The sequence below is a fragment of the Homo sapiens genome, chromosome 8 (genome assembly GCF_000001405.40).
Source record: "Homo sapiens chromosome 8, GRCh38.p14 Primary Assembly".
NCBI classification, from domain to species: domain Eukaryota; kingdom Metazoa; phylum Chordata; class Mammalia; order Primates; family Hominidae; genus Homo; species Homo sapiens.
The window spans coordinates 40542958-40563153 of NC_000008.11; the positions used below are offsets into that span (position 1 = coordinate 40542958).

Here is a 20196-nt window from a genome sequence, read left to right on the forward strand (position 1 = left end):
CGTCATTGCAGCAGAGATGGGCTCACGCCTCTAACGTCACTCAGCTCCAAGTTCAGCAGTTTCTGTCAGTCCTGTCTAAAATGAACACAAATTCCAAAATGACAAATCCACAGATAGAGTGAATTCTATGCTAACTTTTTTTTTTTCTCCTTCAGGCTCAGAGTTTACGTGCCATCCAGCACCCAGCTACAAACACAGCCAAACCTTTCAGCAGACGTCCATATCCATTACTGAAAGCTGTCAGCACATTCTGCAGACAGGGCCAAACTGTAACTTATAAACGTGCTGATAGGCCACGGAAGAGGATAGAGAAAGCCAGCACATGCTTGCGGAGGCTCTGGGAGACTGTGGTCTGGTGTGGCAACCCCCAGGGCATCCAGGTCTGGACGAATACAAAGCAAAGCCCATACTGCAAAGGCAGCGATGGGTGTAGCGTCTGCTGTAGTCAAACTCAATGTTGTAGAAACAGTTCAGCCACGTCTGGGAATTATCTTAGTCAAAATCCACCCTGATCCCCCACCCCAAATAACGATATCCTCCAAATTGTTCCAGCAGGACATCGAGGATATGGAATGGGACACAGTGCTGTGGAGTGTGGTCCTGCTGGTGCCACTCAGCACCGTCTAAATCATGGAACCTAGAGCAGATGACTTCACCTCTATGAGCCTCAGTTCCCTAATCTCTAAATTAAGAAGACACTGGCCGTATAGGCCTTTGGTGAGGAATAAATGAGTGAAAGGAAGCCCTTTATAAATGGTAAAGTAGTCGTAAAGCTATTCAGGTAGAAATCATTAGAATTATAACTTTATATCATCATATGACCTTACCACCCCTTAAAGACTATTTTATACATTTTAACTGAGATAAGGTAGAGGGAACAACATTAGCCAACCAAAGCATTATCGATGATTTGCTTATATGATGAATACTATCATCATGGACTTCCAAGTGTCCAGGGAATTGAATTTAATATATTGAAGCTACTGGAAACAAGACATGTCAAGCTGGGTGTTGGAAATTTCACCCTATGCAGTCAAAAACTGCAAAAAATGTTGAAGCCAGTGGTGGAGAGGGAAGGGCAGTCAGGGAAGGGGATGCCACAGGGAGGTGCACATGTGTGGGAGGGGCCAACTGAGTCTATTTTCAACCTCACAACTCTGCCCTGGCCAGCACTAATGAACTTAGTGATTGAGCTGGGATTTTCAAGCAAAGGGCTGAAGGTGCCATCTGGCTTTTTTGTGCTGCTTATAGTAAACTGTAAGAGTGATAAATTGAAGGAAGAATTGTTAAACATGAAGGAACCAAGACCTGATAATTTTGAAAAGTCTCAATCTCTCTGGACAGCAAAATATGCTAGAATTAAGAAATGGCTTTTGAGTACTTTCAGGAAAACATGGTATAGACATATAGCCACAGGTAAGACTACATAACTACTGGTTAAGACTTCAAAAAGATCAAAGGATCAGCGTGTTATTCTGTCTCACAAAGAGCCTTTTAAAGAGATGAAAGGTGTGTCTTACCGATTGTCTCAATGGAACAGTCGGACGACTAGGAAGCATCAAGACATGATCTCTCAGGCTTCTGAGCAGACCCCAAAGGTGGAGAAGGGCTTTTCTTGGAGAGAATTGTGGGTATAACTTTTTTTCTAGTACAGTAAACTCAAATAAGATTCACAGAAATCCCACAATATTTTTTAGTTAATGTCACCAGCAGAAACACTGTCGTTTTGTACCAAAAGTAGCAGAGACAGTGCAAAATGAAAAAAAAGGTTAGTAGACCCCAGGAATTCTAATGGGAAGTAGCAAGTCAAGTAAACTAATCAGTTACAAACAAGCTCTAGTTTTCATGAAAAAGGATGACTCAGAGGATGGACCAAGGTAGCAGCTTCTGAAATTGCCTTCAAAGGTCCCTGAATCCTGGGATCCATGTCCTGGTATAATCCCCTCTCCTTGAGTGTAGGCTGGGTCTGATGACCAGTTTCTAACAAATAGCATATGAATCGTATTATTATTTCCAAGATTAGGTTATAAAATACTGTGTTTTCCATCTTGTTCCTCTTTTGCCCTCTTGCTTGTTTACTGTGATCATTGTGAGTTGCTGTATGTTGTGAGCTTCTCATGCCTAGAGATGCCCCTGGCCTGGAGTTCAACAGGAACTGAGACCCTCATTCCAACAACCCACAAGGAACCAAATCTTTGTGGATTTTTTCAAGCAACTGCGCGAGTGAGGTTGAGAGCAGACTCCCCCCTAGTTGAGCCTTAAGATGATGATGGCCTTGATTGAAGCCTCAGGAGAAGCTCAGAACTAGAGACCAGAACCCAGTTACACTATGCTAGGCCATTCCTGAATTCTGGACCCATAGGAACTGTGAGATAATAAATGTTGTTGTTTGAAGCCACTAAGTTTTTGAGTGATTTGTTAAGCAACAATTGATAACTAATAGTCAGTGTTATGGTAGAATTATGCTCCCCCCAAAAATTATATGTTGAAGTCCTAACACTCAGTGTCTCAGAATGCAACCTTATTTGGAAATAATCATTGTAGATATAATTAGTTAAGATGAATGGTACTAGAGTAGGGTGACTCCTAACCCAATATGACTGGTGTCCTTATGAAAAGGACAAATTTGGGCATAGAAGAGCATGTACAAGAAGAAAGCCATGTGAAGACTGGAGTTCTGCTGCCACAAGCCAAAGGTCTACCAGAAGTCAGGAGAAAGGCCTCAACAGACCCTTCTCTTGCACCTTCAGAGGGAGCACAACCTTGCATATGCCTTGATCTTGAACTTCTAGCTTCCAGAATTGCGAGAGAATCCATTTCTGTTGTTTACGTCACTCATTTTTGGTACTTTGTTATGGCAGCCCTAGGAATTGAGACAGTCAATAAAAAGGAAGAAAGGTGTGATACCAAGCAGGAAAAAAGTAACCAAGGAACAATTTGCTCTAATCCTAGCAGTCCTCTGAAATGCTGACCCCCTCACCCTGAAGCCCAGTAAAAAAAAAAAAAAAAAGTCTATATGTTTATCCCTATTCAAACACCATCAGCATCAGGCTGTTCTGATCACAAAGGAAGTTACGGAGCCAGTGTAATGAGTGTCCCAGGTGGGCAGGTCTCTCCTTCACACAGCCCACAAAAGTAAGAGTAGCTGGAGGAAAACAACGCAAAGCAAACCACAAGGCACAGTAAAAAGAAAAGCAAATTTAAGAAAATCCACATGAATCTCATCTTCAATATGAATTTTCTTTTTAAAAAAGAGGAAGGAAAATTTGACTCCCTCCTGTGTAAATTAATTTACAGCACTAGCTGACCTATTTAAAGAAACCACAGGGTGAATCACTTGAACAAAAAAAAAAAAAAAAGAAAATCATCTTCAAATGCATCCCTTACATAACTCTAGGTTCTATGGAGACGTACCAGAGCTCAACTCTGAATGTGACTGAGTGGGATTCGAGGTGTTAGGATCCATCATTTCTCAAACTCTATGTTCACTTTCAATTAATAGACAAAAAGAAATTGATTATGGAAAATTTGGGGCTGAAAAACAGTCACTCTGATTAAAATTCATGCTGACTGCTCTCATCCAATGCAGGCAAGTCCTGGTGGGAAGAAAATCCTTTTTGTTGACTTTGTTAATACTCAAGAAGAAAGACAGAAGAAATGAATTACATTCCAATGGTCCTCACAGGAAAGTGCCAGTTCCTGAGGCAGCATAATTATCTGCTTCCAGCTGATGACCTTTCCTCCCTGGTGACAGACACAGAAAGGGAAGGGAGAAAGGCCCTCCAGAGCTCGGTGTGAGCTGCAAATGCCAGGAAATCACTCTGCTCCTAACCAGTTGCTGTAGAAATGTAGTTTATGTGTGGTACATAAAGCTGCGATGGATTGTGGCTCCTACTGCCTCTGCCAGTTCCTCTGAACATAGATTCAGACACATCCCACCACCAGCGCCTGATCTTAGTAGAGTAGATTTTTAGAAGAATTGAACATAAACACACACACTCACGCACACACACACAGCAAACTTTCATGGCAACAATATGGAAATGCAATCATGATAAAGAGTGACATTTCTTAAGGTGCATCATTTGCAATATTTTGATTAACTCCCATTTCGGAATGGCAAAGCAGCTTATGTTAATAAACATAGAACTCCAATTAGACATCTGTGCATGCAATCTAAATGGAACTCTTAGCGGGCTTGCGTGTGTCACCAGTTTTCCCACAGTCTGTGTGCGGGCAACCCAGCCTGGGAGCCAGGAAGAAGGTGTTCAGTGATCTCATGAACGGCTGCTGGGGTTAGCCTGCAAATCCCGCTGTTTTGTTGATGGTGTTTGTTTCCTCTCTAGACCTCTGACATGGGTCTCTCACAATCTGACTCCCTGATCTAAAATCCAGAGTTTTGAAAGCAGCAGCTCGCTGTTAAGAAGCCTCATCTTCATTCTATGAAAGCATTTCACTGTTTGGAAATGAAGGAAGCCACAGCATGAAGGATAGGGCGTGGACCTTGGGGCCAGACAGATTTGAATTTGAATTTTAACCTTGCAATTTATGAATCATGTGACTTGGGCAAATTACTTAAGCTTTCTCAGCCCAATCCCTTTACACATGAATGGGAATGTTAATATTTACCCCTCACACAGATTTAGAGCTGGGCACTCTTTTATTTTATTTTTTAAAAATTATACTTTAAGTTCTGGGTGCATGTGCAGAACGTGCAGGTTTGTTACCTTACACATGCCACGGTGGTTTGCTGCACCCATCAACCTGTCATCTACATTAGGTATTTCTCTTAATCACTTTTAATGTGCCGAAAATACAGCAGAAAATCAAAGTGGCAAAAACCCACACTTTATATTTAATATGGAGAGACTCACGATGAATGAAAATAAATACATTATATAGGACATTGGAAAATGATAAGGGCTGTGAAGAAAAACAAAGCAGGAGAAGTGTTATGAAGGATGCGGAAGCAGGAATTTGCAATTTTAAGTAGGGTGATCTGGGACGGCCTCACTGGGAAATGACCATTTGGCATGTGGTTGTCAGGGGAAGAGCTGGCAGAAGGACTAGCAAGTGCAAAGCTCTGAAGCCAGAGTTCCACGGAGGTCTTCAAGGGGCACCTAAGAAATCCATGTGGCTGGAGCCCAGGGAAGAAGGGTGAGAAGTTGGAAGGAATGCAAAGAGATAATCAAACATTTAGGTGTAGGAAGGACCCTTCAGGCCATGACACAAGATCACACTTTTATGCTGAACAAGATGGAAAACCATTTGTTTATTTTGAACCACAGAGTGGGTGGTTTGATCATTAAAGATTTAGTGCATTAAAAGAAGATTAAAAAAAAACAGAGAAGGAGGAGGAAGAAGAGGAAGGATATAAAGCATATAGCTATCTCCTGGCATAGATAGGTGATTTTTAAAATGCTATTTTGAAAGCTTCTTCACATTCCACAGAATCACAACAATCTTTCATTCTCTTCTTCATTCCCCCAAGACTGTGATTTATGCATAGAAGTTTTGTTGGAAATGTTTATGTTGCCTGAATTAATGTCATGAAATTTAAACAATAGAAATGAAATTTAAAGCCAAAGTATGTTATTTTCTTAGAGATTCTGATGATTTCTGTGGGTGAGTTCTGCATGGCTGAGTCAAGAAAGTCAGATAATGTCTCACCATCGCTCATAAGAGGTCCAGAGATAAGGGGGTTCTTGAACAATGTGTGCAGATTCACTCCACACATCTGCTTGAAATGCAGTAATAGAGTCTTAAAACAAAACAAAACAAAACAATAAAAGAGAGAAAGACAAAGACAGGAATGAGGCTGATAGAATTCTTTGTCCATTTGGTGAAAAACTTGTTTTGGAATCTTGTGATCTTGTAGGCATTACATCAATTTATGGCCGTTCTTCTCTTTACTGACTTCTGCTAAGCTGACAAAGGTCAAAGGAGATGCCAAGATTCAAGAGAAGCAAGCTAACCAATACCATTTGCTATGGTCTAAATGTCTGTACTCCCACCCACAGAATTCATATGTTGAAACGTAATCCCCAGCTGAATAATATTAAGAGGTGGAGCCTTTGGGAGGTGATGAGGTCATGAGGCCTCCACCCTCATGAATATGGAGGCCTTATAAACCAGGCTTAAAGGAACCCTTTTGCCCCTTCTGCCATGTAAGGACCCAACAAGAAGCTGCCATCTATAAGGAATGGGCCCTCACCAGACACTGAACCTGTTGCCACCTTGAACTTGGACTTCCCAGCCTCCAGAACCATGAGAGATACATTTCTGTTCTTTATAAATTACCCAGTCTGAGGTATTTTGTTATGGCAGCTAGAACAGACTAAGACACCCTCCCTTTACAAGATTTGAGGTTGTTGACTGACTCCACTAGGGGTGCTAAAAACAGCTCCTGAGAAAGAAAGGCTTACAACTCCCAAGTTTGCATTTCAAGCCTTGAATTATCTTTTGGCTGCTGGATAAATCAGTATCTGAGAGGCCTAAAATGCTTCACTGTCCAAATCTTAACTAGTTTTCCCCCAAACCAGTGTCGCTTCATGCAATCTTTTGATGAGAGAATGGCTCCTATCTAGTGTCCAAGCCAGAAACCAGGTAATCAGAGATTCCTCACACACAACTGGTGATCCAGTGATGTTAATTCTACTTTTCAAATACTTTTTTAGCTTCCACATTTCCACTGTCACTGCTATAGTTCAAAACATACTCTGTTCCAACTCATCTCCCTGCTTCTTATCACATCTTCTAATATGTCCACTAACTGATTTATTTGAAGGAAAAAAAAACTAATTGAGTCCTTCCCTACTTAAAATTTGCCAATTTCTCTTCATTGCCTAAATTCCTTAGATTTATACACTAGACTCTGATCTGACTACTGATCATATCAGAGTCTAATGTACTGAGAATTTCTTTGACATTATTTCTCAATATTCTCCCTTTTTGTCTTCTTGTTTCTCCAACCAAAGGGCACCTTATAATCCTGCCATATTGAGCTTGTCATTCTCCTAAAACTCACCAAACTGCTTTAAACAAATTCTTTGCCAATTTCCCTCTCAGCCTGGAGTATCAACTCAGGGTGACTGTGGTAGCCCTGAGAGTGTGTCTCACAGTACTTTCCCTATGGGGAGTAGTCAATCAAGGTTCCAACTCCTGAGTTGTGATGGGTTCTCTTGGGCCACTCCCAGACCATGAATGCAGCAGGGATTTTAAAGCAGACCCCTTCTGGAAACCAGAGGGCTCCTCTGAAGAGAAACATTGGCTCCACCTCCCAAAGGCCCTGCTTTCTGAGATTGCACAGTGTCCAGGATGCTTCCACCTGACCATCCTTCCCTCTGTCTTCCACTAAGGCTTAGAATAGTGGTCTAACAGCTCTCCCAGTTCCTCCTAGATCCTTCCACATTTCTCTCACAGGTGTTTTCCATAATAAAATTCCTGCATGTTTAATTCTGTCTTGGAATCTGCTTCTCAGAGGAACAGGTCACACACTAACACAATGACCATCTGTCAAGGCCTACTGATATGGTTTGGCTCTGTGTCTCCACCCAAATCTCACCTTGAATTGTAATCCTCATATTCCCCACATGTCAAGGGTGGGACCAGCTGAAGGTAATTGGATCATGAGGGTGGTTTCCCTCATGCTGTTCTCGTGACAGTGAGTGAGTCTCACGAGATCTGATGGTTTTATAAGCATCTGGCATTTCCCCTGCTTGGGGTCACTCCATCCTGCTGCCCTGTGAGGAAGGTGCCTGCTTCCCCTTTGCCTTCCACCATGATTGTAAGTTTCCTGAGGCCTCCCCAGCAATGCAGAATTATGAGTCAATTCAACCTCTTTCCTTTATAAATTACCCAGTTTCAAGTATTTCTTCACAGCAGCATGAGAACAGACTAATATACCTACTTTTTAGTCGACAGGTTTCTCCTCTGGAAAATAGCTTATTTCCTGCAGGTAAAACAATATATAATAGGAGAATATCATATAGACTTTAACTATATAACAGAACCACTAATATTAGGTTTGTACATTTTCATGTCCCTACTATATCCCACCTGAAATGCCATTGTATCTATTATGCTTCATTTGTTTATTATAGTGATGTTGTCTCATACAACATCTCTGTATCCACAAAAGTGAGCAGAGTGGCTGGCCTACAATCCATAATGGTTCTTTAGTGACTAGGAAAGTACTTAGCACATAGTAGATAATAAATACATGCTAAAAGAGTTAATGTTTATAGAATTAATGAATGAATTAATGTTTACTGAATACATGGATGAATGAATGGCACACAAGCCTGGGGGACAGGGGTAGAAATCAAAGAACCCAGAAAAACATAAGGGCAAAAGAGAAAATATTTTCTTTCCTTGAAGGAAGAACAGAAAATGAGTAAATTCTAATCAGTAAGGATCATGAGAAAGATATCACGTTGTTCTATTAAACTTTCAATTAAATATATCATCATCAATCAAGGCTTTAACATTTTGCAATTGTGTTATGCTTGACTACTGTAGTGGTTACATGGTTATTAGTTTTCATATAGTAGACGATGTATTAGTGTAGTCTGGATGATCAAGAAAGGTAGATGATTTGTGTTGGGGAAGATTCAACCATACCTCTGAGCGGGACAGATCTGAATTTGCAGGACAAACTCCAAAAAGAAAATCACCACTCTTACTTTAAGCATTGTTACAATAAACCTCTGTCGTCGAGACCAAGGTATTTTTCATGAAACAAGATGGGCTCGCTGCTTACCTAATACTAGTCTCTCACTTAGGTAGATGCTATATTTTAAGAAATGTGATTTAATCCATGATATATCTGCACTTGTAATTTCTCATTTTCAGAAATGAAAGTTGTGGCATGATAAAGTTTGAAAACTTAGATTCAAATCTCAGTTTTTCTCCTTGCAGTGAGACACATAAGCTCCCAGAGCACTAATTTCTTATCAAAGAAGAAGAGTACTAAAACTTCCCATACAGCGTGTGTGAGGATTGAATGAGATCATAAATGTGCACGCCTTAAGAACTGTGTCTGACACAAAATCGCTGCTCAACAAATGCCGGCTGAATCAGCAGCCAGGGCCATAATGGCATCTAATGCATTTTAAATGTCTGAGATGAATTTACAACATGGTATGTCTTCAGGATTAAAATCTACTTGGAAAGATTTCTCATAATAGCCCTCTCTTCTCTTGCTGGATCCATTTACTCTTTGGGCACTATTCCCAACTCCAGTTCTGAGTGAGCTCTCTTTTGCAGGTTTTGAGAAATGTACCCAATGTACACCCTTTAGGTCATCTTGCCACCAATCAAGCTGCTACTATTGCTTTTCACAGGGCTTAGTCCACCTTCAGGTCTCACAGTTAGCCCTCCCTAAACACACGCAGTCATAAAGCTATGCTCTGAGCACCAAATTCTGCATCTTTTCCCCAGTTGGTCCCCTTCCCTTATTCCTACTATCCAAGTCTTTATGTCCTCTCCCTCTTTCTCATACCAAACTCTGTGTACTGCAAAGGACTGGATAAGCCATTTGTGTTAAGGAGACTTCAATACATTTAACTAACATTTACTGAACTCCTACTTGTGCCAGGCATTGTGTTCTGTTTTGCCAGAGACATTATATTTTAAAGGAGACAGTGTATGAAAACACATATATAAACATAAGCCAAACTCTACTGGGAGAACTTGAGACCCAGGGAGATGAGTGGAGAAGGATGAGTCTCCTATATTAAGTGTGTCATCAGCACAGGCAACTACACACTCTGCAGATGACCAAAAGGCCACACGGGGCCTCTTTAACTTTGACTATAGCGCAATGTAGTAGTGTTAAAAATACATCCACAGATTATTTCACACTCTTCCCTTCAAGAGGAGGAGCCTAATCTTCACCCCACCTCCCGTCGCTGTGGCTGAACTTAACTTGCTTCTAACAAATAGAAAAAAATGTAGTAGCCACTTATGCCTAGTGTTCCATTATTGGAAAGCTAAGCACGTGGGAGTTATTTATATCCTGCTGCTCAAGGTCATCGCCAAGGACTGATTGTAAAAATTCAAAAAATTGTAACCTCAGGCATAAATGGGTTAAAGGTGTGTGACTTTGGAGATATGGTCATAAAATGAACTGTGTCCGCTCCTTATTCTTTCTCTTGGACTGGCCACCCTGGAAAATGTTAGCTTCCATCCTAGGAGGAAAGAGCCATGGAACAGAGGCCTCCTGCCCACAGCCGTGTGAGTGCAACACCTTGGAAGCAAATCCTGCAGCCCCACTCAAACCTTCAGATGACTGTAGCCCCAGACTACATTCTGACATCATTCCTGATTCACAGTAACTATGAGGCAATAAATATTTGTTGTTTCAAGCTACCGAGTTTTCGGGTAATTTCTTATACAGCCCTGGATGGCTAATAGAAAACTTGAACATTCTGATGTTTTGAAGTTCATTAAAAGTAGAGGGTGGCATACTGCATTTCAGCTAGCTTCTGAATTTCTTGTGCCATCAGCTTTGAGACCTAAAAATGCCAAAAAAATTTTTCAACACTATGGTTGACTGTCATCCCAGGATAGGAATGTCTATCTGGGCAACAGGTGGCTGTGAGGACCAAAATAGTCGCACCTGGCATCCAGACAGAATTTCATGCCTGATATCATTTCATCCTTACAATAATTCCACTGGAGAAGTAGGAAAAATTACTATTCTCCATTGTATAGATGATACTAAGTGATCACCTAAGGTTGCATAGATAATGAATGATATGGATGGCATGAGAATTCAGAATTCCTGAATTTCAAACCAACATGATTCCATCTCTATTACACTTTCTAGATCAATCTCTTCCTAAACCAAAGACTGTTAGATGATAGGGAGAGGAAAGAAAGAAATTTACCAATTATTCATTCTGTGCCAAGGAGCACACCAGGTACTTTATATTTATTTCATTTAATCATCACATCCAATGATACAGCTCTTGATAACATCAGTTTACAGATGAGGACTCTCAAGGGTGAAAGAAATTAACAAGAGCATTTTCATGGCCACTCATGCCACTTAAGGGTACAGGTATTATACATATACATGTCTTGTCATGTCATATCATATCATATCATAGCATATCAAAGTCACCACAGTCTGGTTTTAGTATTTCTGTCCCTTTTTAGTTTTTGTAGTTATAAGCTGACACGTTATAAGGTGACATTATCCCTAAATACTTTTTTGGGGGTCACTTAAAGTTTTTTGTGTTTGGGTAAAAAGCAAGGATAGAACAGATTTCAAATACAACCTCAATCAAACCACCACCTTCAAGATTACCACCAACTTCTGCTTCTGCTTTTGATAACTACAAACCAACCATTGTTTTTTTAAGACAAACAAAAATTAACTAAAGAGTTAATTAACTAAGTTAATTAGTTAATTAACTACTAATTGGTTAATTAACTAAGTACTTAATTAACTAAGTACTGGGAATACACTGCGAAAAAACTAGATATAAACTTCTGTCCTCACAGAATTTGTCTGAAAATGTTAAGCAATCATAAACATGTGGAAATCAAGCAAAAACCTTTGGGAAAAATGTCATTCTGTCTCATACCACTTTCTCATTCATCCCAGTTGGGTCATCAATAGCATTTTTATCTATGAATAAAATATTTAAAATATCCGTATTGGTCTTTCATCAACTACTTCTCAAATACTTCTTTTCTCATTTCTAAATTTAATTGATGCATAGTATTTTACATATTTATGGAGTATAAGTGATATATTGTTACACACATAGAATGTGTGAAGATCAAGCCAGCATATTTGGGATATCTATCACCTTGAGTATTTATCATTTCTATGTGTTGGTAATATTTAAAGTCCTCTATTCTAGCCACTTTGAAATAAACAACACATTGTTGCTAACTATAGTCACCTTACTGTTATCAGATACCAGAATTTATTTCTTCCATCTGACTGTATTTTGTGTCCATTAATCAATTTCTCTTAATTCCACCTCCTCACCTATACCCACACCCACACATCCTTCCCAGCCTCTGGTATCTATCATTCTACTCTCTATCTCCATGAGATTAACTTTTATACCTCCTACACATGAGTGAGAACATGTGATGTTTGCCTTTCTGTGCCTGGCTTATTTTACTTAACATAATGAGTTCCATCAATGTTGCTGCAAATGGCATGATTTCTTTCTTTTTATATGGCCAAATAATATTCCATTGTGTATATACTACATTTTCTTTATCCTTTCATCCATTGATGGACACTTAGGTTAATTCCATATATTTGCGATTGCGAATACTGCCACAATAAACATGTGAGTGCAGGTATCCCTTGGATATACTGATGTATTTTCCTTTGGATGAACACTCAGTAGTGAGATTTCTAGATCATATGGTAGTTCTATTTTTAGTTTACAAATACTTCTTAATCACCATCTCAGATATACTCCACAGTCTTCAAGATTAACAACCACCATCACGAAAATAGCAGGTAACATTTAGTAAAAGCTGGCTCAGGCTAAGCACTTGTCCTCAGATTTGTGATAATGATCTTCAATTCTCATAGTCCCATGAAACAGGAAGTGGAATTCCCATTTTGTAAATAAAGAAACTGAAACTCACAGAGGATAAGCTACTTTCTCAATGTCACACAGCTAATGAGTTGTAGTGGCAACACATAACTACAATGTCAGAGTCCATACTGTCTCTTTTACGGTCTCTACTCCTCTTGTGACTGATCATTCCTTCATCACTGATGAGATTGATCATTTACAGCATGAATTCCCCCAGCCTCCTTCACTAGATGAATAATAGACTATGGTCTCTTCTATTCTTCCCCAAATCTCAGAGTGGGTCCCTCCTCCTACTCACAGACAGGATTCTCCCATTCTATTTAACACTTAACACACTGCAATTTGTTTTCTCTCCCAACCACTCAACCGACTGCCTTGGCTAAGGTCATCAAAACAGCCCACTTCTAGACTATGCAGATGGTATTTGGACTTTATCTTACCATATTTCTCCTTTGCGTTTGACTGCCAATGGTCCCCCACCTTAAAACTCTGCCCTCTATTCTGAGATACCAGTCACATGGTTCTCCTACTTCTATAGCAATTCCTTTTTCATCTCCTTCCTCCCACACTTACATTTTGTTGTTTTTTAGGGTTTATCCTTGCTTGCCTCTCTCCTTACCCTATATCCTTTTTTCTACCTAGCACCCATGCTCATGGTTTTAACTACCGCTAGATGAGAATTCTCAAATCTTGTATTTCCACCCTTAACTTATTGTGTGCTTCTCCCAACACTCTTGTTCAGTTTTTTACTTAAAAAGTTCTTCTTAATAATTCATAGACTTCTCAAATTTAACATGAATACAATTCAACTCATGATTTTTCTCATTCTCTCAAACGAGCATTTCCTCCTTTATTGGAGTGATACCTCCATCATCAATCCAATTTTTCAATATGAAATCTGGGATTGTTTTATACAACTGTCTTTTACTCATCCCTCTCTCCAACTTAACAGTGTTGTTAATGTCTTAGATAAATCTCTTGTCCCGTTCTCCACCCAGTCCTACAACCACTCTCCTGAGTAAGAAGCACATCACATCCTGCCTGGACTACCTAAATAGTTTCTTAAATGTTATTTCTGTTCCTAGATTTTTCCTTCTTAAACCAACTTCCCACCTGCTGAATTAAAATCACTTCCATGTGACTGCACCACATGTAGAATACTTTAATTGATACAAAATATTTTACGTATCTATGGGGTACATGTGAGTATTTTGTTAGATGTGTAAAATGTGTAATGATCAGGTCAGAGTACTTGGGATATCTATCACCTTGAGTTTTTATCATTTCTATTTGTTAGGACTACTTAAGTCCTTTCTTCTAGCTGCTTTGAAATATAGAACACATTGTTGCTAACTGTAGTCACTCTCCTTTGCTAATGAGTATTAGGGCTTATTTGTTTTATCTAACTGGATGTTAGTACCCACTAAGCAACTCTCTTTAACCCCCACTCCCACCTACAAACTCTTCTCAGACACTGATACCTATCATTCTACCCTCTACCTCCATGAGATCAATTTTTTTTAGCTCCCATACATGAGTGAGAACATGAGGCATCAGTATTTCTGTGCCTGTCTGATCTCACTTAACATAATGACCTCAAGTTTCACCCAAAGGAAAAGAAATGTATATTTCAAAAGGATACCTGCACTCTCATGTTTATTGCAACACTATTTACAATAGCAATGATATGGAATCAACCTAAATGTCCATTGACCAATGAATATATGGTATATATACACAATAGAATACTCTTCAGCCATAAAAAGAATATAATAGTTAATTTAAAATACCATTTAGGTTCTTAATCTAGCTCCTACTCCTACTCTAGCTCCTACCTCCTGCTAATGTCTCAGGCTTATGTCTTTCCTCTCTGCATTCCAGGGTTTTTTCTAGTACTATTTTAAAGATTTGTAGTTCCCTGAAGATATCATGCAAGTGTCCGTCTTAAACATATAAATCAGCCTTTACTTATGGTCCTGAACCAACCTCTTTACTCTTCCTGTATATCTGTCCATTCTTCAACAACTCAAGTCAAGTACCAGCTCTTCAAGTTCTCCTCACAGGTGAGGTTGGTAGCCCCTCTTTTATATTCCCATAGCACTCTCTGCTTTTTCTTAACAAGGCATTTCCCACCTTATAATAACATCCCCTCTCTCTGGCTGTCTCTTCCCAACATTAGAGTGCAGTGCCTGCCCTCTGTGTGCTGGTCCCTTCTAAACCCTGGAGATGCAGCTGTGAACAAGACCCAGAAAAGCCATACACCTCTGCAGCTTTTACTCTATTTGTAAAAGAAGAGATAGATGATAGATGGATAGATGAATGGATGGATGGATAGACTGATTGATTGATAGATTGATATGATAAAAAGATGGGAATATAATGGGGGTTAACTGCTAGGTAGAGACAAAATAGGATGATGTGACAGAGAACACTGAGGTGAAATTTGAGCTGAGCTTGGGTTGACAAGAAGGGGCTAGTCATGTGATGACTGGGGGCAGTGCACATCAGAAAGCAATTCCACCTAGAGCAGGAAACGCCAGTTAGGCAGGAAAAAGTGTGGCTACCTGAAAATCAGAAAGAAGGCCGGCCAGGCTGCCATGGGTGTGGTGGGGAGGAGAGATTTGCCTGAGCCAAGGCAGGGAGGTAGGTTGATATTGGATTACACAGGGCTCTGGGAGCCAGCACGAAGAGTCCGAATCCTCTTCTGAGTACAATGGGAAGCTGTCAGTGGATTGCCAGCGGAGGGGACTATGATCTGGATGATATTTTCCAATGTTCACTCTGGCTGCTGTGAGGAATGGCACATAGAAAGGCAAATGTCCCCACAGGGAGCTAGTTAGGAAGCTGTCGTGGGCAGCCCATCAAAGAGAGAGACTGGAGGCTTGGACAAGGGACTAGCAGGGGAAAGGGAGAAAAGGGGGCAGATTTGAGGCGTGTGGAGGTGGAGTCACAGAACTGGCTTATGGACAGATGTGGAAATGGAGGGGAAGGAAGGAACTGCCATTATCTTCAAGATTTCTGCCTTGAGAAACTGGATAAAAATAGTGCTATTTAGAAATAAGGGGAGATTTGGGGAGAAGGAGGTAGAAGATCATTGGCTGACATCAAGTATTCTCTTTATGACCATGTGAAGTTTGAGATGCCTGCTGCACATCTAAATTGAGAGTCTTGAGTCCCATGTGAGAACTAAAAATAAAATCCTAAGGCCCCCAACTGACTGAACGGGCTCCCGCTTCTTGGCCGAGGGGACCCCAGAGATCCCAGCCACGACAGGATGAGAGGTCAGATATGCCTCATTAGGCCCACGCCCTTTTGTGTTTTAGACACGACAGCCAACCAACATAAGACTGACAGAACAGAGGGGCCATAAGACTGACAGAACAGACTCTTTGTGGCAATAAGATACCAAATCATAAACAGGACCTAAGGCCATGCCAGAAAAGGGTTAAGCCTCGCACCCCTGCACTTAAAGAATAAACTAATAAACTATGTTTTAACTGCCACAGGTTTGTCTTTTTCTTCAGCAGCTAACAAGCACTGGCTTTGAGACAAGCAGTGTTGAAACAATTGCAGCTCGCCCACCACCAGACACTGACTAACTGAGTCCTCCTGTTCTACAACCATAACTATAGCTTTGATTGCACAATAGAATGATTTCTGTAACTTTCTCCTGATAAAAGACCACTGACTGTGAACTGGTTCTGGCTGGCTTTACAGAGGCTGTGCACTGAGTGCCTTCATGTCCCTGCTTCACCTCTTCACATACAGGGCCTAATTATAATACTTAAATGTTAAGTCTCCACCTCAAAGCGAACATGGGACACATGTAACATGCATGTTTGTTCAGTATGCATGCATCATACTGAACCCCTTCATGAATATGCATTCCTCCTCCTAACATAACCTAACCCCTTCATGAATATTCATACCTCCTCCTATAACCTGTTAAATATGTGTACTTGGCCAACTTGTTTAGCACAAATCCTTGTGCCTCCCTCCCCTCCTGTGAACTGCCTGCTTTTTGGCCTCTGCTAGAGGCAATGCTTCCCAACCTGTCAGAATGCCCATCTTGTAGGTTGTAACCCTTTATAAAAAATAAAGTCTCCCTTCAAAATTTATAAATGATATAATTTTTCAGTTGACTCAGTGGATAGGGCAGAGTTGTAGATATAGAACTGAAGGCACACACACACAAATACACACAACCACACAAACAAACACAAAAACACACACACATGCGAATACACATAATTACAGAAACACACAGATATACACAACCACATAAGTACACACAAATACAAACACACGTTTGTGAAATTAGATTAGAGCTTTTCCTGAGTATGTTAATAGAAAAAAATAGATGACCCAGAAATAATCCCTATGGCCCCTTTGGGATCAAACTTATGCAATAATCTTCCTCAGGCAGAAACCGCAGAGGAGATACTGGGGCTGGGCAAAGACTCCATGTCAGGTGTAATTTTTGTGCATTTTTGCTCCCTGAGGTCTGTTCCACTCTCCCACTAATTCCTGTCCTAATGACAGTTTGTCCATGGCTTCCTGCCACTGTCAATACCTGTGCCTCTAATACACTTCTAGCTCAAGCTAGTCACACAGTGCCAAGTGATTTCCTTTTGAATTATCTTCCATAATCTTGTCAAACTTTATATATATATATATATATAAAATTTGACCAAGGGAAATTGTACATTTTATCTTAACTCATTGTCCTGAACAAATTATGTAAATAATAACACCGCCAATTATAGACAGTCTATTTTCCATTAAAGCTCTGTAGTAAATTCCTATGCCACAGTACCAGCAGAAATATATTTTTTCATTTTATTCATCAATGCTTTTTCTTGGAAAACAAATAATCATATCTTTCCCCTCAAAGTAATCTCAGAATGCAGATGAAGCTATGAATTCTCCAGGTGATATTTCAATGCTTTAGCCTCCTGGGTACAAGTCATCCTAGATATATATTAAACATTTACTGTGAAAGTTTTGAGATTCAAAATGGAGTCACTTGTGTCTTGTGTCACTTGTCAAACTCCGGCAAAATAAAGACAGAGAAGATCATGGTGGGAGGGCTGTCCTAATAGATTTGCCTGATAATATGAATGATCACAAGGACAGCCAGCCACTTATGCAAAAACACTTGCCTGACACACTATTTCACAAACTCAATCCAAAGAAACAGCTGCTATGACTTCGAGACTACAAGTTTTACCTAGAAATGCCCCCACTGTCACTCATCAGAGCTTGCCAGATCCTGAAAGACATCGCCAGCCAATGAACTTTCAAAATAACCTGTATAATCTACTCTTTCCCCAATTAAACCCTAACCTTTTCCTCTGTTCTCTGGACATGCAGGAGGCCACCCTGGTCTTTATGTATGTCTCGCATTGCAATCCTATTTCTTGTATATTAGTCCCCAAAAAACCCTTTTACTTAGTAGAGATTTACCTCTCCATATTTTCTATGTTGGCACTACACATATGATTCTAGAATATTTTCATTAAAATCATACAGTTCTGTTTAAAGAAAAGATCGTCTTTGATTTATAAGCTTTTCTGTGTACTGTGCAAAGAGACTTCTGTGCAAAGAGATTCAGTGTCATTTGTTAATAAAATAAGCTCATTTTTCTGACAAAAATGGAAACATCTTAAGTTACTATATCTTTAATTTTTTTTTTCAAAGAAGGACAAGAAAACTCAGCACTTTTAATGCTGTGGTCTTTCATTTGACATTTAACTATCCTGCTGTGTAGTGTTACTTGGCAGCTTTAGAGGGTACTCTGGTGGTTTTACAGTGTACTAACATGGCCAGCCTGCACAGCGTTTCTTATAATTCCCTTAGCTATATGTTTCTGGTTTTCACTCTCAGAAGGTCAGGGCTCACAGCTTCCACATGTAAGCACCAGGTTCTCCTGCAGAACTACCACTTTATTGAGGTTGAAGGTGGAGAGAACTAACTCGGGTTTCAGTCTGTCCTTAGAGGTCCCAGCTGGTGCTCAGGGTCTGAGTAGCACTTTCTCTTCCCCACCCAAAATCTCTCCTCCAACAGTCTGTCTTCCAGGCTCCAAGCACCAGCATTAGAGAGGGTGCTGAACCAGCTCTCACAAAGGCTCAGTGCAAGCTTGTTCAACCCCCAGCCCACAGGCTGCATGCGGCTCAGGATGGCTTTGAATGTGGCCCAATACAAATTCGTAAACTTTCTCAAAACATTATGAGAGTTTTTTGCAATTTTTTTAGCTCATCAGCTATCATTAGTGTTCGTGTATTTTATGTATGGCCCAAGACAATTTTTCTTCTTCCAATATGGCCCAGGGAAGCTAAAAGATTGGACACCCTTGGTAAGGTCTAATCCCTGTTATAAATCCATGTGTGAGTGTATGTCTGTGTGTAAGAGAGAAAAAGAGAGGGAGAGACAGACACACACCTCCTAGTGGTCTTGCTTCTCTGACTGAAGTCAGTCAGGTGCAATGCCTAGGGCACGGTTCTTTCTCTCTGCACCTTTCTCTACTTTGGACGATACGTCTTCTCCCTGGCTTTAACTTGTACCCATTTAGCTGACTTCAAAATGTCCATTCAAAGTCTGGTTCAAGTCTTCATATCAGGTCTGCTTTCCAAGAACCTGTAGGACATTCCTGCTCAGGCAAAACACCATTCCATCAAAAGCACTGTGTCTAAAACTTAACTCCCTCACTCCCGGCCAGATTCTGTCAGAATTTCTCCCATCTCCTAAGCTGAAGACAGGTAGGCACCTTAGGCCATCCTCTCAGAAATCCCATCATCAATGATTATCAGTGGTTCCTCAGAGTTCTAGGGATCAGCAGGGGCCAGGGAGGAAGTTCACTGGGTAGCACTTTTGACCCAACATGTCTAATTCCAAAAAAGACTACTTTTATGAAATTCCACCTGCTACTTATTTTAAAAGAGGGTTCTGCTGTTATAATTTGAGTTCTTATGCAAACCCCTTCCCCTATGCATAGCAAACAGCTACACATCACCCTCCATCCTCCTGGGTGCTGTCATCAATGGGGCTGCTGGGGCACTCTCCCTCATACAGGGGCACACTGGTAAGGAACTCCCCCTCTTTCTTTCTACCCCAGCCATTGTGGTAATCATGGTCTAGAAACTTCTACAAAACTCCCCAGGCAAACAATGACAACCCCTCCTGATTGACAAGCCATCTGTCAATCCTCTTTCTACTTGACTCTTTCTGGCATTTAATCAGTTTGTTCTACACCTTCCTTCTTGAAATGTTTTTTTCTCCCTTGACTTCTGAAGCACTAATCTGTCCTGTTCTCCTACTTAGAAAAGAAATACAAAATATATCATTATGAGAAAAAGTGTTGACTTCTCTTCCTTTGTCACGACGTGTGTGTGCACACATGTGTGCAGTGTAAACATATGTGTGTTTATTCCTCAAGTTCCTCTTACTGTACACACTCACCTTGAGTGAACTCATCTACTCCCATATCAGACACTTCAACCAGCTCCTGTGACCCTAAGCATCCTGAATCTGAATCTTCAGCCCTCATTTGTTTCTTGAACTCCAGAGCCATAAACCTCAATGCCCACCGGCATCTTCATCTGAATGTTCTTAGGCCCCT

At 40.4% G+C, this 20196-nt stretch overlaps 1 protein-coding gene across 2 annotated transcripts in view, besides 1 other annotated feature; it reads right to left on the minus strand.

Moving 5' to 3' along the window:
- Positions 1–20196, minus strand: part of ZMAT4 (zinc finger matrin-type 4) — a 367237-nt gene that overhangs the window by 12368 nt on the left and 334673 nt on the right. The window lies entirely within an intron of this gene.
- Positions 3687–4188: an enhancer, noted in NCBI's record as "H3K27ac-H3K4me1 hESC enhancer chr8:40404163-40404664 (GRCh37/hg19 assembly coordinates)". NCBI's record gives its function as "activates a minimal SCP1, AML or CMV promoter by ChIP-STARR-seq in naive H9 embryonic stem cells {active_cell/tissue: H9 hESC(naive)}" and the evidence as "EXISTENCE:reporter gene assay evidence [ECO:0000049][PMID:30033119]".